We start from the raw sequence: 14,459 nt of genomic DNA, 5'->3' as shown, positions 1-14,459 counted from the left end.
TTACTGGATTATTTCAAAAGACCTGTCTTCAAGTTCTGAAATTATTTCTTCTACTTGATCTATTTGTTGAATATTTCAAGTGTATTTTGTATTTCATGTAATGAATTTTTCAGTTCCAGAATTTCTGTTTGTTTTTTTTTTTATAATGTATTTTTGGAAAATGTTTCATTCATATCCTGAATTGCATTTCTCATTTCTTTGTATTGTTTGTCTGTATTCCTGTGTATCTCACTGAGCTTCCGGATCTTGGTCTGTTGCCCAGGCAGGAGTACAGTGGTGCGATCATAGCTAACTGCAGCTTCCAACTCCTGTGCTCAAGCAATTCTCCCACCTCAGCCTCCTGAGTAGCTGGGCCTACAGGCACACATCACCATGCCCAGCTAATTTTTATTTGTATTTTTTATAGAGACGAGGTCTCACTATGTTGCTCAGACTGGTCTCGAACTCCTAGCCTCAAGCAATCCTCATGCCTGGGGCTCCCAAAGTACTGGGATTACAGGTGAGAGTCACCATGCCCAGTGTTCACTGAGTTTTAATATCATTATTTTGAATTCTTTTTTTGGGATTTCATAAATTTCTTTTTGATTGGAATTTATTGCTGGAGAATTATTGGGTTCCTTTGTGGGTGTCATATTTCCTTGATTTTTCATTTCTTGTGTCCTTATGTTAATCTCTGCACGTCTGGTGTAACAGTCTCTTCTAGTTTTCTTAATTTGCTGTTGTAGGAGAGGAGTTTTTCCTGAGGGTGTGTCTATGGTGTTGGTTGTGCAGGGCACTTTAGCTTTGATTCTCATTGTGTGCAGTAGTATAGTCTCTGTATGATTTCTTTGGCTATAAGTCATGTTTGTGGTGTCTGTGATTTCCTCAGTATCTTAGGGTATGGTGGAGGCTGTAGTGAGGTTTTGCTGGGGACAGGGATACCAGGTTGGCCTGTCCTTGGTCCCAGTGGTGGCAGTAGTGGGGTGAGTATGCCTGCCCTTGGGCCTCAGTGCAGTATATGCTGGCACCAGTGTTAGCAGGTCAGGTGGGTTATTTTTGGGGGACCTCCTTGTAGCTTGCTCAAACGCTGGTAGTGGCAGTGGCGAACTGGGTGGGTGGGTGAATTCTTGGGCTCCTGGGCAGCAGGCATGATATGGGTGATGGCAGCAGCAGTGGCAGGACAACCCTCTGGCTCCCAAGCAGTTTGCGGCTGTGATGGGCTGGTTGAACCAGTCTTCAGGCCCAAATGTGTACGCAATTGAGTGCTAGATGTGGCGGTAATGGCAGGTTGGGTGGGCCTGACCTCAGATGCCCAGGCAGTATGCTCAGGTTCCAATAGTGGTGGAATGGGCTGCGCAGTCCCCAGGCCTCAGGATGGTTTACTCAGGAACTGGGTAGGACATACTTCAGCCCCCCCCGGGGATGCATTCAGGCTCTAACAGTCTTAGGTAGGGGCTGGGTGATTCCAAGGCCCTGGCAGAATGCTCTGGTGGAGGCAGCAGTGGCTATACTGCAGCCCTACTACTGGGGAGAGTGGGGTTGCTTTCAGTGGCAATAGGTATGCCAGCGGCTAGGGAGTGCACACTTTGCTCACTTTGTCCTTGGCGCTTGTGAAAACGTGCAGTGGCTTCACTGCTGGAAGCAGCAGGGTCTTTGCCAAATGGTTTGCACTTCATCCCTGGCAGCAGCAGCTAGCTGCTGCAATGGCTGTGGTGAGGAATATCAGTGGGGTTCCAGGGATGTGAAGAAGCAGGGACTGTTGGGCCCCCAGCAGGATGCAGTCTCCTGAGGACTGGGCTCTCAGTATGGTGTCTTCTTGTAGCTGCCTTGGACTCCAGGGGTGTGTGGGACCCATCACGAGCTCCCTCCCTGGAGCAATGCCTTCTCGCCATCTCCAGGCAGCTCCCTCTGTTAGCCTCAAGGCCTGTGAGGGTCTAGGGCTCTGTCATGGCTGGAATTGCAGAAGTGCATGGTAGGAATGTGGACCGCTGGGGATCGCTCGCTTCCCCTTTCCCCACACTGGGGAACCTCTTGGCTGCCTTGCCTGACTGCCCTCTCCTTGCCTGCTCTAGGTGTTTTCTGTCACTTCTCTGTTGAATTCGTGTTCTCTGTTAGATGATCTATTCAAAGTCTGATTCTTCCTCGCTATTTTGGTTCTTCTTTGTAGAGGAGGTAAGTACCAGATGCCTCTAGTCAGCCATCTTGAAGCCCCTCCTCTAGATTTTGATTGGTTAACTTTTTAATGTGAAAATATAACTATTAAAAAGCATGTTCTTCATTATATCACCTAAACTCATTGTGATGGCCCTTTGTGAGATAGAGCTCTGACAGATGGGTATTCAGGAGGCTGTGTGGTAGAGAGAAGGGAGGGGTGGGGATGGGGCAAGCCAACTTTCCATCTCTGCTGTGAGCCTCTGCCTGTCAAGGGGCCATTGTCTCGGGGTACCAGGAAGCCATAGAGTATGGCTGGCAGGGGCGATGCACAGTGTACTGGGCATGGCCTCAGGGTGGACTCAGGTGACGTGAGGTGACTGCCTGTTCAGGACGTTGTGTCCTGTGCCACCACTGCCCCCACCTGCAGGCTGTCTTACCATTTGACAATATGTCTCATCTCTAACATGGAGACAAGGAGGCCATGCAGAGTTTACGAGGATTGCACACATTGAGATTTTGTCCAGCACCTAACTGTGTGCCAGAAATTGTGCTTTGAATGCTGAACCAAACAGCAGAGGGAAGTACGCAGACCTCTATACGATACCACGGATGGAGAGAATTCCTACAAAGGGAACAGTAAGGAGCTTAGGTAGAGAATTACAGGGAACCCAAGTTGAAGGACTGCTCAGAGAAGATGTGGCTCAGGAGAGACATGTAAAGCAGATGTGAGAGGTGGAAAGGAGCCAACCAGGATGAGGTTAAACTGTAGTAGAAAGATCATTTGTCACCTGCTTGGAAAGTCCAGTACTTTAGATGGACAATGAAAGGCATCTTCAGTGGCTGGGGGTGATGGCTCTCATGGCACCCTATTGCAGGTGGCTGTAACCACAAGATTGTGTTGACTGTGGCTGTTCATGTGAGTACTTTGGCCTAAAATCCTATAGAGGCTGATTGAAATTCGCAGAGGAGGCTTAAACCCACTCTATTCAGCTGGAATTTCTTTAATACCAGGAATTGGCCTAGGCTAGGCTAATCATAGGGGCTGGACTTTTTGGAGCCTCTCTTGATGCCTCTCAGAGGAAGATTGTGGTGCAAAAAGGGCAGTACATAGACACAATGTTATTTTATCCCCAGGGAAGCCTTCTCATTCAACCCTGGGAATCAAACTTGGTCCAGGTGACACAATTTCTTGAGCAAGTTCATGATTGGCAGCACTTACCCCAGGGAGAAGGCAGTGGAAGCCCGTAGCACGAGTATCTCTCTGCCAGCCCCCTAGCCAGCCTGGCTCTGTAGGCTCTGGCAGTTGCCCAAGGCTGGGGCCTTGCAGACTGTGATATGTACCTCTTGTTAATCAAATATTCCTGGGTAGAATCAGACTGGACATGTTTAATGAGCAATTACAATGATTGCTCTATTGCTTGGCAAGCACATCTCAATGAATTTGAGCACTAACCCTCCTAGGCCTCCTGAATATTTTCCGGTTATTGTTGCCATTAGACAGGGATGAGATACAGCAGAATGTCACGTATCAGAGGGACATTCCTTACAAGGAATTCTTGCTGACCCACTTTTATTACGCGAGGGCAGACCTGGATGTGATTGTCAAGACCAGGGTTTGCTTCTTTCTGTTTCTGAATGCAGAGTTGACCAGTGACACGCTCAGGTTACTCAAAACTTATGGGTTACAAATAAGGCAAAATGTGCTTTCTTAATTTATTCTGAAGAAAACAGCTGTCCCAAAACAGGATATTTATTCCTAAGTGACAAAAACAAAGGATGAATTGGAGGAGTTTCATGGCATCAGGTGGCCTCAGCACCACTGAGCCTCACTCGAATCCTGACAGCACTGAGGCAGTGTTTCCGTTCAGCTCCCCTTTTGCAAAGTTTAACCGACTGTCTTTGCAGTATTTTTTCATCTGACTGTTACAGTTTAGTTTTTGGCTGAAGTTTGGTTCAGTCTCCTGAAGGTGGAAGGGGGGCAGGTTTAAAACAATTTCCCAATAATACCAAGATTATTTCCATTTTTCACTCTCATTCTTCCACAAGTATACAGCGGAGTTCCAGAAGCTAAGCAACATGCAGGATAGCATCTTCCTTAGCTGGTGGAATATGTTCCTGTGTTTTAAGATGTTCTAATATAGCAAAGATGGAGAGATGGAACCCGTGTAAACAAAAGCTTTTTGTGAGGGCCTCAGTAATTTTTAAGAGTTTAAGGAGGTCCTGTGGCCAACAAGTTTGAGAATCTCTGTTGTAGAGGCACAGTCTCCCCAGAGGGTAGCTGTTTAGTTCATTGAGCAAATGTTCCCTAAACACCTAGTGTGTACCAGACCAATCAGCAACAGCTTCTAAGTTAACATATCCCAGTAACATCTTCTTATAAACCTTGATAGGTGCAGTGAAAGAAATGAATAGGGTACAAGGATATGATAACAGGGATGAAAAGCCCTTTCTCCTCAGAAAGGAGGAGGGGCCATCATGCTGGGTTGGAATGTGGGAGTGTTCCTGGGAGGAGGAGGAGGGGTGGGAAAGGCCACCAGTTGCCGGGAAAGGAGGGCCTAGGCCTAGAGGAAGTGAGGGTCATTTTTCCTGCCTGCCATGTTTCTGTCAGTAGTATACTCCGCGGCTCAGGGTTCGCTCTTAGAGTTCTGTGCATCTTGGGCCAGGGCTGGCCAGATGAGTAGCCTGAGCAGAAGCTGTTTTCTTCCCAGGTGGGTGGACGGTGGTTACCTTGGTTGGAATGAGGCATTTTGTAGCAGATATGAGACCTGCAGGTTTACTCTCTAGGTCATCAAGAATCAAGAGTGGTAGTCACACGGAAGTCTTGTTCCACACTGGAGGTGTGCCTGGAGTGGTGTGTGCTGCATTTCTGCATCTCCCTTGACTTTATTTGATCCTAGTAGCAGCCCTGTAGATTGTTGACCTCATTTTTTAAATGATTAAACTCCTGCTCGGTAGTGTGCTCAGTGGACTGGCCCCAGAACACAGAGGGAAGACTTTGGGGTCAAAAGCCAGTGCTTTGGCCACTGCCCCAGAATTCTCTCAGAGGAAATATTTTATTGCCTCTTGGCAATGAAAATGTATTTCGACTATATTTGAAAAGTTCAATATTTAAAGGAAATCAACAGTATTAAAGGGTCCTTGTGAGTGATAAGTAACTCACAAACACAGCCCCTTTCACCGTGTTATTTCTGGTGATTTTGGATTTTTATATGGTTACATCTTTAGTTTCTGGGACTGTGAAGCCACCTTTGCTCAGAAATCATTGTCTTCAATGTAATTTATTGAAAACAAATTATATTTGCAAGATCCTCAGCTGCAGCATGGAGGAAGACAGTCCTGAAAAAGTCCCTTCAGCTGTGGCCTTCTGTCCCCTCCACCAGTGCTGTAATATATTCCCCTCATTGTTCTGGGGATTTATTGCTACTCAAGTAATTCCGACTCCCTTTAAAAGGCCACTGTAGAAAAGAATTCCATGTTAGTGCTACTTGGCGTAAGCAATGCTAATGAGAGTCATTTATAATGGATATCATTTTAGCATTCAGTAGTTTTTAATTGTACATGCTTCTCTGTAAGTATATTGTATATACTTACTTTTTTAATGGTCAGTTTTAATTAATTGCCTTTGTGAAAGCTTGTTCTTGGCACAGCCCTTCATAAGAGTCAACATGTATTTATCAGAGCAAGCCACAGAAAAGCCACAGAATGGCCTCTTTTCTTTTAATTGTGGCTCATTTTTGAAGTTGAATACAACTGGGTATTTATCGAAAGCAGAGTTACTCATAATGAAGCATTGGTTTGACAGAGTAACTTCTGTGCTAAGCAGAAAGTTTGTCAAGATGTAATCTCAGTCTGCACATTGCAATATGTAAACACCAAGTGAGTTTATCTGGCTCTGTGGTATGAAGTCAGGCCTGCCGAGTTGACCGTTAGGAGCAGATCCCTATCTCTTAGTTTGGAAGTGGGAGGGCAGTAACCGCTAGCAATCTCATGAGCAGGAAGCACAAATAAAAAAGTGATCTGGTGAGCAAGATTTCTAAAACGGCCCCCAAAAATGTCCCCACAATTGCCTGGAACCTGGGAATGCATTGCTATTATTACTCCTATGATCATGTTGTGTTGTGTGGCACAGTTGACCTTAAAATAAGGGAGATTATTTGGGGTTATAAATACAGGCCCAATGGAATCCCACAAGTGCTTAAAAAGCAGAGAACGTTCTCTGACTGGTGGCAGAAAGGGAAGTCAGAGAGATTGATACCGCAAGTGGGCTTTGAAGATGGGAAGGGGTCATGTGACTGCAGATGCATGTGGCCTGCCCCAGGTGGAGTCAGCCAGCAGACGGGCCCTCAGTCCTCAAGCTTTAGGGAGCTGTGTTCTGCCAACAACCTGAGAGAATGTGTAAACGCAGTCCTCCCCAGGCCTCCAGGAAGGAGGGAGACTGACCAGAGCAGAGAGTCTCAGCATGCGCATGTAGACTCCTAGTCTGTGGGAACTGTGAAGTGATACATTTGTGTAGTTTTAAGCCACTAAGTTTTGTTTACATAGCAACACACCTCTTATATGGGTGGCAAATGCTTTCCATGTAGAGGAAAACCTTCTTTCTAGAGATCTGTAAGAGCCATTTGCTTCTAGAGCCTCTGGGCCAACAGCCAACATGAACTCTTGATTTAGCCATCTTCTTCTTTTATTTTTTTTTGATAATTTTTATTTTCTTTGTAGAAATACAGTCAGGCAGTGACTTTCAAGTGACTTTGACCATGATCCAAAGTAAGAAGTAGCTTTTTTTTTTTTTTTTTTTTTTTTTTTTTGAGACGGAGTCTCACTCTGTCGCCCAGGCTGGAGTGCAGTGGCGCGATCTCGGCTCACTGCAAGCTCCGCCTCCCGGGTTCACGCCATTCACCTGCCTCAGCCTCCCGAGTAGCTGGGACTACAGGCGCCCGCCACCACGCCTGGCTAATTTTTTGTATTTTTAGTAGAGACGGGGTTTCACCGTGTTAGCCAGGATGGTCTCGATCTCCTGACCTCGTGATCCGCCCGCCTCGGCCCCCCAAAGTGCTGGGATTACAGGCGTGAGCCACCGCGCCTGGCCAGAAGTAGCTTTTATATTGAAACCCAGTTCACTTTTGCATACACATCTGAGAGACAAAATTACCTCAAAAGACTTTATCCTTTTTATGTCAGATACATTCTGACATATTCTATTTTATTGTACTTTTAAAAACATAGGTCATCACCCACTACATTGATTTCTTTACCTGTCATCCCAAAGTCGGAAAGTTGTTGCAGTTGGTTGTGCTTCTGCAGTTTTGTTTTACTTTTTAAAATCATCAATCACCTGTTATTTTAAGAATGAATTTCTGTTTGGGAAATGTTGCTCAGTGTAAAGTGGCATTATGGTTTTGTGGGTCTCTGTGACAAGTCCATGTCCCTCCATCCAGGTTCCCTGGTCTCCCTCCTGAGTAGTCTGTGCAGCACCAGCACAGATGGCAGTGGTGCCTCTCTCTGCTTGTTTCACTTTGTGTGTTCATTACTGGACATAATGAGAACTTTTCCCATTTTTTTAATGATTGCTGATATTTCTTTCTGTAGATGGAACAGTGTTGCCTCAGCTCCAAGGTGATGGGCATTTAGGGTGATTCCAGCCGTTTGCTGTCACAAACTAGTGCAGTGTACAAACCTCTTCCCGCAGGTGTGTGAGGATGAATTCCTAAAAGAATTGCTGAGACAAAGTATATGTGCCTTTGTCATCCTGAGGGCAGTTGTCATCCTGTGGAGGTTTACCATTTGCTCTCCCACCAGCAATGTATAAGCATACCTGCTTCCCAACACTTCCGCCAACACATATTATTTGATTAATTTTCTTGGCTGATAATGGTATCTCATTGTAGTTTTAATTTGTATTTCTCATTGTGAGAGAAATGAAGCATCTTTTCATGTTTTGAGAGCCATCTGTGCATCTTTTCCCATTGTTTCTGTTAAGTCATTGATTTGCAGTACTGTAATTTGTGATGAGTTGTAAACATGAGCTCTTCTGGCCTCTTAACCATCCTTATCCAGCCTGTCTTCACGTTCCTCCTTGCCTAAAAACAAGCTCACTCAAACAGATCATTCCTGTGGCCCTCTCCCTTTTGAAATAAATCAGATGGGCAAATTTGCTTTTGTTAGGGGCCTGAGACCCAAATGTTTAAAAGTAGCTTAGCTGATGAGTGAAAAGGAGGCCCAGTTGGGGGTTGCACAGAAAATGAGGGGCGTGGGTAATAGAGGAGGCTGGGCAGTAACCTGGCAGAAGGCGCCAGAGGCCAAGGAAGGTGCGCTGGTGTCCTGCAGTGAGAAGGATGTGTGCACTATCAACTGGGTAAACACACTGCTATAGCTGCTCCAGCGACAGCAGGCACTCTCAGAAGGGAACTGAGAAAAGGGGAATGCCAGTTTCTGCCAAGGATATATGGAAAAGTTTTTTTTCCCCGTATGTTCTTTGGCAACCTTGTTAAAATCATTTAAAATGGTGAATTTGATAACAAAGCCAGCCACTAAAAGACTTGGATGTAGCAAAACAAATTGTCAAAAAGTATTTATCATTTCTAAGAAATAAAATAAACTGGGATTTAGGCTTGGATAGAAATCCAGAGGTTTGTTTTGGCATAATTAATTACAACATCTGAAGAAGGGAGGATTTTTACAAGAATTTTTTTTTTTGTAGTGAGATTGCTTTATATTCCTTTTCATGACTGGAGAGTCTGTCATTTGGCAACCCGCAAAGAACTTCAGGAACAGAGGGCCTAAGTTTTCTTGACACATTTGGATTTTTGCATGATGAACATTTGCACTTTTATTAGTAATTGTCGAGTCGTGTGTGGTCTGATCCTATGGAGAGGAGAGTGTAGGTGTTCTCTGGAGCTAGTACTGCCCCCGGCTCACACGTGCCACACTGCCTGCTGCTTTCAGAAAGAGCAGGACGGCTGGTCCTGTCCCATCTAGTGAGGTCCTGTCCCATCTAGTAAGGTTCTGTCCTGCAGAGCTCCTAAGAGGGGATTGCTGGCCTTTGATTACACTGGCTTCCAGAATCTGACCATGGAACCATTATTTGAAGCTGTCAGCTTCATTTTGTTGTTGATCAGGCCAGTCTTTTAGGTCTTTGTTGGTTGATAGATTTCTCTCAGGTCTATAGCAGCAACAAATAAAGCTCTTTAAAATTATTTTCTTGACCATTCTGCCTATGGATTGGTTCTGACCTTTGAAATGTTTGCTGTCCTTTAGATCGTGACAGAAGGAGCCTCTTCTGGGAGCTGTGAAGACCCCACAGATCTCACTGGTTTTCTTGCTTTTATTGGAAGAGTTAGCATTTGTTGAAGTTTATATTTATGTAAAATAACAATAAGTAGATTTTAAAATTTTTCTTTAAATTCTGTGATCTAATAAGAAGAGAGACTCTTTCTCTGTCATTGGGAGGCTTGATGAGGATCGGACATACCTGCTGAGAGTATCCTGTAATGTTTTCATAAGATTGGAAATGGTGAAATGAGAGCAGAAATGTAGGCAGAGGATGCCAACGCTGTTTCCTATTTCCTAAGTAAAACTGAGCAGGGCAGAATCTCCCCAGCCCTGCCAGAACTCCCTTCCTCCTTGGGTCCGCTGTCACTGTCATGCTGGCCTTGACATCTGCTACAAGTGCACACACATGGGGAACCACACAGGGAAGTGAACACATGTCCTGACGTGTGTGTGTGCCTGGTGTGGCTGCTTCCTTGATCCAGGCTTTGTTTTGTTACGAGGCTCTGCCCTCCTACCTTCAGGCCTTGCTCCTCATCATGGGCATGCAAGGATGGAATCGTTACCCCAGAGTACACTTTTTGACTTGGATTACTTGTAGTTTAGTACTGGAGTTCAGAACTTTAATTTCCCATCAGAAACCTGCCTCCCGGACCCAGGACACTGACCTTGATTGGGCACGATTTTCCAGATAAGACCTTACCTCCTCCCAACAGGGTTTGCCTTCCCTTCAGAATACAGGAAAGTACACGTGGTTCCAAGAGGACCATGCTCTTACTAAGATAAAAGGGAGGAGGGTGACTAGGTACTTTCCTCTGCTGCCATCCCTTGAAGGAAGGGGGCTTCCTTCAATGCCTCATCAGTTCCAGGGAGTATGCTTGACCCAGCAACACAGAGGAAGAAGTGACCTCATAGCAATGAGGGGCAAGCATGTGGATATTGCTGGGTATTTCTTCCTCAAAGTCTACCTGGGGACAGGTGATGAAGACGCTTACTTCTCTGCAATACACCGTGATCAGGCTTTGGTCTTCATGACACATTTTAGCCTTGCCTATGTGTGTTGAACAGAGCTGGTCATCCTCAGAAATAAAAGAAGAGAGCAATAAGTACAGGAAGGCTTTCAGTCCCAGAATAGTGTTAGGACTAAATGTCAGAGAACAGGGGGACTGTAGGAGTTTGGGGACCTTAGCATGGATACCCTCTCAATCTGCTCCCCTGTGGTATAAACAGTAAAGCCCATTGTACTAAAAGGCCTTGAGTGCTTGTCTCTGGGGCAGGTGGAGCCAGTGATGGGTGCCCCGAGAGGAGGATGCTGGAGAGGGGACAGTGTCTAAGGCAGTTGGAGAAAAAGGACAATGGCTTATGCAGTCAGGCCTAGAAGATGCAAGGGATGTCACAGCATAGTGTCCACAGGCATCCCTAGATGTCTTTCATTTTGTTTCAGGAAGAATATTGACAAAGGTAGTGATGGGAGGGTTATTTCAAGGATGCTATTTTCATGTGTCCAAGTAAACTTAAGATTCCTAAGAACTTTGACCTCTAATGCTTTTAAAGACCGTGTACCTCATGCCCATATGCACATTCAGTTAGAAAATAAATGTAGATTCTTTGGTGAATTCGAAGATGTGCTCATGGAGTGGCACAGCGTGATCTCAGTGTACACATGAAGCATGCTGATGAGAGCTTCTTGGATCTTGTTTCTTCAGGTGGACTTGCATTAAAGTGCTGTTGAATCTCTGCACTGGGAGTGGGAGCAGCCATGCGATGGGTGCCTTAATCCGAGTGCCATCCTGGCTCTCTCCAGGCTGCTTCATTTGCTGTGAGGGGTAGGGGGAGGAGGAGTTTCCAGGCAATGGCCTTATCTGTTCTGGTGGTTGACCAAGGGTCGGGGGTCCCAAAGGTGGAGTTCCAGGATGAGAGTGCACCCTTGGGGATGGTACTTAGAAAGAGTGGGGACTAGGCCTCAGCCAGGGAATGGTGGGCCAGGGTGGAGCTCCTTTGTATCAAGGAGTTAGGGCCAAGGGCCATGCAGGTGGGCCTGCAGAAGGTGGGTGGTGATATGGCCTTTCTGGTGATAACAGACTCGTGGCACTGTTTTCCTGGGGCTGTTGGGGTTGCATGGAGCAGATTCTTACTCAGGCTTACTGTCTTAAGGAGGGAAGAATGCTTTTTTATGAATACGCATAGGTCTGTGGGGCTGTGGAGCCTGGGGAATCCGAGGCTGGCGTGGGAGTCTGGGGCCCTCTAGCGGTGGTGGTGCATCCTCAGCTCAGTGCCACTCACTGTCCCTATTTCTCTCTGTCCATTTCTCTCCTCACTGCAGTGCTTCCTCTCCTTCCTAGATTTTTTTCTCTAAGTTTGACTATTCACCACCCCAGAGACTCTGTTCTATCCCATGACCTCTTGCTGTACTTTCTTTCAAATCTAAATTTTCTTGATTATTTTTCTTAATTTACAGTTTCAAGATTAGATCTGTTGGGAGCATTCTGTGCTCTACCTCAGCCCCTGGTTGAGCTATGGATTGGTGTCCCCCATGGTGACGTGGTCTGGACTCCCTTTTGTGTGAAGAGCTGTGGCAGGGCAGTGAGGTTTTGTGGAACTCAGGGAGCATCTGGCACTATGTATGAGGTTGTGAGGTGGGAGAGAGCTCTTAAATCTACCAGCCTTGTTGATCTTGGGAACTAGGAGAGAGTGCTAGGGAAGCCAGTGCCAGCAGGCCTGGAGCCTCATATTTCTTTGGCATTTGTATGATACCTTCTAGTACTTCGTTTTTTGACTTATATATGAACTAACTCAATTTAGATGCTTAGAAAATAAACGGCCACTGGACCTGCAAGAGATTAGTAGTGGTGTTCCATAGCCTTAGACATTTCTTACACTTTTATCCACAGATAAGAAAAAAATAGTGATATTTGATTTGTTTTGCCAAGGCTTAGAAGGATCTAATATGTGTTACTCGTTGAGCAGCGGGAAGCAGCAGACATTTCTAGGGTTTCTCCCTGTCACCATTCAGGAGACAGTGCACACAATCCCCTTGGCTCTTACCTGAACACTGACCACAGGTCTGTCATTGCAGGCTGGGAGTCCTCCGTCAGCATCAGCTCCGGCTCCGGTGTCCTCCTTCTCTCGCACTTCTATCACGCCATCCAGCCAGGACATCTGCAGGTAACACTCTGCTTCAGATGCTGCCATGATCAGTGTGCAGCCAGAAATAAGCATTAGTGTCTGTAGGTTCTTGAATTTCCATTTGCTTAATCAATCTGCCTTTGGTCTAAACAGTTGGCGAGTTTTATGTGTGGTTTGCTCACCAAGTTACCCATGCTAGTCTCATTTCTTCACTATGATGTCTATTCTCTTTTAAAATTGTTTTTACTTTCTGTGCTTTTATCCCACTGTTCTGCATGCAGTTCCAGTGCAGTGTTTTCTGAGTGTTGTCACCACAGTTCCGTGCAGTCTGCTGTTGTCTCGAAAGCTCCTCACTGCCAGAGTTCTCTGACACAAGGGCTCACTGTGACAGTTATCTGTAAGGACACATTACAGGCGTCAAAGAGAAATTCCTTTGGTTCAGAATGGGCCCAGGCCTTGAAGCCTGCTAAGAATACCAAAGCCAGAAGAACACTAAAGTTCTCAAGGTCCCTCAATGATGTGGGTGAGAAGGCGCAGGATACTTCAGAAAGTTTTGCCTATGTGGAAAGAACTTGTTCTGAAGGGAAATTAATACTCCCTCAAGATACGTGTCTCAGAACTAACAGGTTTCATCATAAAGAAAAAAGAACCCTGAACCACAAACCTCTTGGCAATTCCAAACATTCTTGTGTTTCATGCCTTTCTGCCGGTCGCTCAACTGCCTCAGAGGTGGAAGCTGGCAAGGGGGGCAGGCCCGGCCTGCTGCTGGAAGAGAAGGCGGATGGTGAGGCCACGTCCCGAAGCCGGCAACTGCTCCAGTACCTGTTCTCACTCTCGCACGGCTTGAGCGCCAGCAGCCTGCACAGGTTCCATGAGCTGGAGAGCTGCGCTGCTCGCCTGCACACTGCCAAGTCCTCCAGCGGGCTGGCAGGGAGTATGGGCTTCTGCTCTGACGAGATGGGAGACGACGATGTCTTTGAGGACAGCACATCTGCAAAACTGAAGAGTAGGGTTCTGCGGGCGCCCCTCTGCTCCACGGAAAAGGACAGCGACCTGGATTGTCCTTCTCCCTTCTCTGAAAAATTACCCCCCATATCTCCCGTGTCCACGTCAGGGGATGTCTGCAGGTTGGTTTGCCAGGAAGTGCCATTCTAGCCATCTCTGCTCGCATCAGGAACCTCCTCTTGCTTTAGTATGTGAAGTTTCAGGAAAATGAAGTAATAGGAAGTTGTAACCAGTTGTGGGTTGATGGTTTTCTCCAGAAGAATGGAGTATCAATATCGTTTGAAAAACTTAATTTTTATGATGTGAGTCCCAAGATAGTTTTACAAATGATAAAAGAGGAAGAAGCTGGCTGGGCGCAGTGGCTCACGCCTGTAATCCCAGCACTTTGGGAGGCTGAGGCGGGTGGATCACCTGAGGTCAGGAGTTTGAGACCAGCTTGGCCAACGTGGCGAAACCCCGTCTCTACTAAAAATACAAAAATTAGCCGGGCGTGGTGGCGGGCGCCTGTAATCCCAGCTACTCAGGAGGCTGAGGCAGGAGAATTGCTTGAACCCGGGAGGCGGAGGTTGCAGTGAGCCAAGATTGCGCCATTGCACTCCAGCCTGGGCAACAAGAGTGAAACTCTGTCTAAAAAAAAACAAAACAAAACAAAAAAAAAAAGAGGAAGAAGCTACACATATTAAAGGCCAAGCTGACTCTTCTAAACTAAAAATAAGTAGACTTTGCATAAAGAAACTGGAAGAAAGAAACTAGTATCTTCAGTTTTCCAGCCTGATGGTCCAGATTTTAAGCATTGTTGCATCTCCCAGCCTCTTTTTTAACCCTTGCTCCCTACCTACCCCCAAAAGGTGTGTGGGGACTGGCTGTTCTCCAGTAGCTCCTTCCTTCCTTCTTTTTAACTGAGGTGTAGCCACCTATGTCCCATCCTA

The 14,459-nt window shown here is 46.1% G+C and overlaps 1 protein-coding gene and 1 long non-coding RNA gene across 17 annotated transcripts in view, besides 4 other annotated features; one reads left to right on the top strand and one right to left on the bottom strand.

Moving 5' to 3' along the window:
- Positions 1-12,528, bottom strand: part of LOC105378286 (uncharacterized) — a 47,291-nt gene extending 34,763 nt beyond the window's left edge. For both annotated transcript variants that reach the window (XR_945919.1, XR_945920.1), the window contains exon 1: positions 12,445-12,528. This is a non-coding gene — a long non-coding RNA (uncharacterized LOC105378286). The remainder of the gene's footprint in view (positions 1-12,444) is intronic.
- The window catches only part of MARCHF8 (membrane associated ring-CH-type finger 8), a 140,323-nt gene that overhangs the window by 118,105 nt on the left and 7,759 nt on the right, over positions 1-14,459 (top strand). For 9 of the 15 annotated variants that reach the window (XR_007061947.1, NM_001401646.1, NM_001401645.1 and 6 more), the window contains 2 exons: positions 12,476-12,564; positions 12,807-13,652. Coding sequence is in view for 14 of the 15 variants with exons in the window: in NM_001401646.1 (NP_001388575.1) it covers positions 12,476-12,564; positions 12,807-13,652 (935 nt within the window). In the remaining variant the exon portion in view is untranslated. The remainder of the gene's footprint in view (positions 1-12,475; positions 12,565-12,806; positions 13,653-14,459) is intronic. The other 6 variants (NM_145021.6, XM_047424768.1, XM_047424769.1 and 3 more) reach the window with 1 other exon arrangement.
- Positions 953-1,452: an enhancer, noted in NCBI's record as "H3K4me1 hESC enhancer chr10:45970799-45971298 (GRCh37/hg19 assembly coordinates)". NCBI's record gives its function as "activates a minimal SCP1, AML or CMV promoter by ChIP-STARR-seq in primed H9 embryonic stem cells {active_cell/tissue: H9 hESC(primed)}" and the evidence as "EXISTENCE:reporter gene assay evidence [ECO:0000049][PMID:30033119]".
- Positions 1,453-1,954: an enhancer, noted in NCBI's record as "H3K4me1 hESC enhancer chr10:45970297-45970798 (GRCh37/hg19 assembly coordinates)". NCBI's record gives its function as "activates a minimal SCP1, AML or CMV promoter by ChIP-STARR-seq in primed H9 embryonic stem cells {active_cell/tissue: H9 hESC(primed)}" and the evidence as "EXISTENCE:reporter gene assay evidence [ECO:0000049][PMID:30033119]".
- Positions 6,462-6,571: an enhancer, noted in NCBI's record as "active region_3321". NCBI's record gives its function as "activates an Ori minimal core promoter by ATAC-STARR-seq in GM12878 lymphoblastoid cells {active_cell/tissue: GM12878}" and the evidence as "EXISTENCE:reporter gene assay evidence [ECO:0000049][PMID:35858748]".
- Positions 12,318-13,517: an enhancer, noted in NCBI's record as "CDK7 strongly-dependent group 2 enhancer chr10:45958734-45959933 (GRCh37/hg19 assembly coordinates)". NCBI's record gives its function as "activates an origin of replication core promoter dependent on BRD2, BRD4, P300/CBP, MED14 and CDK7 cofactors, with strong dependence on CDK7, by STARR-seq in HCT116 cells {active_cell/tissue: HCT116}" and the evidence as "EXISTENCE:reporter gene assay evidence [ECO:0000049][PMID:35650434]".

The sequence above is a fragment of the Homo sapiens genome, chromosome 10 (genome assembly GCF_000001405.40).
Source record: "Homo sapiens chromosome 10, GRCh38.p14 Primary Assembly".
Classification (NCBI taxonomy): Eukaryota; Metazoa; Chordata; class Mammalia; order Primates; family Hominidae; genus Homo; species Homo sapiens.
Note: the sequence above shows the minus strand (reverse complement) of the source record. Positions and strands in the feature narration are given on the sequence as shown.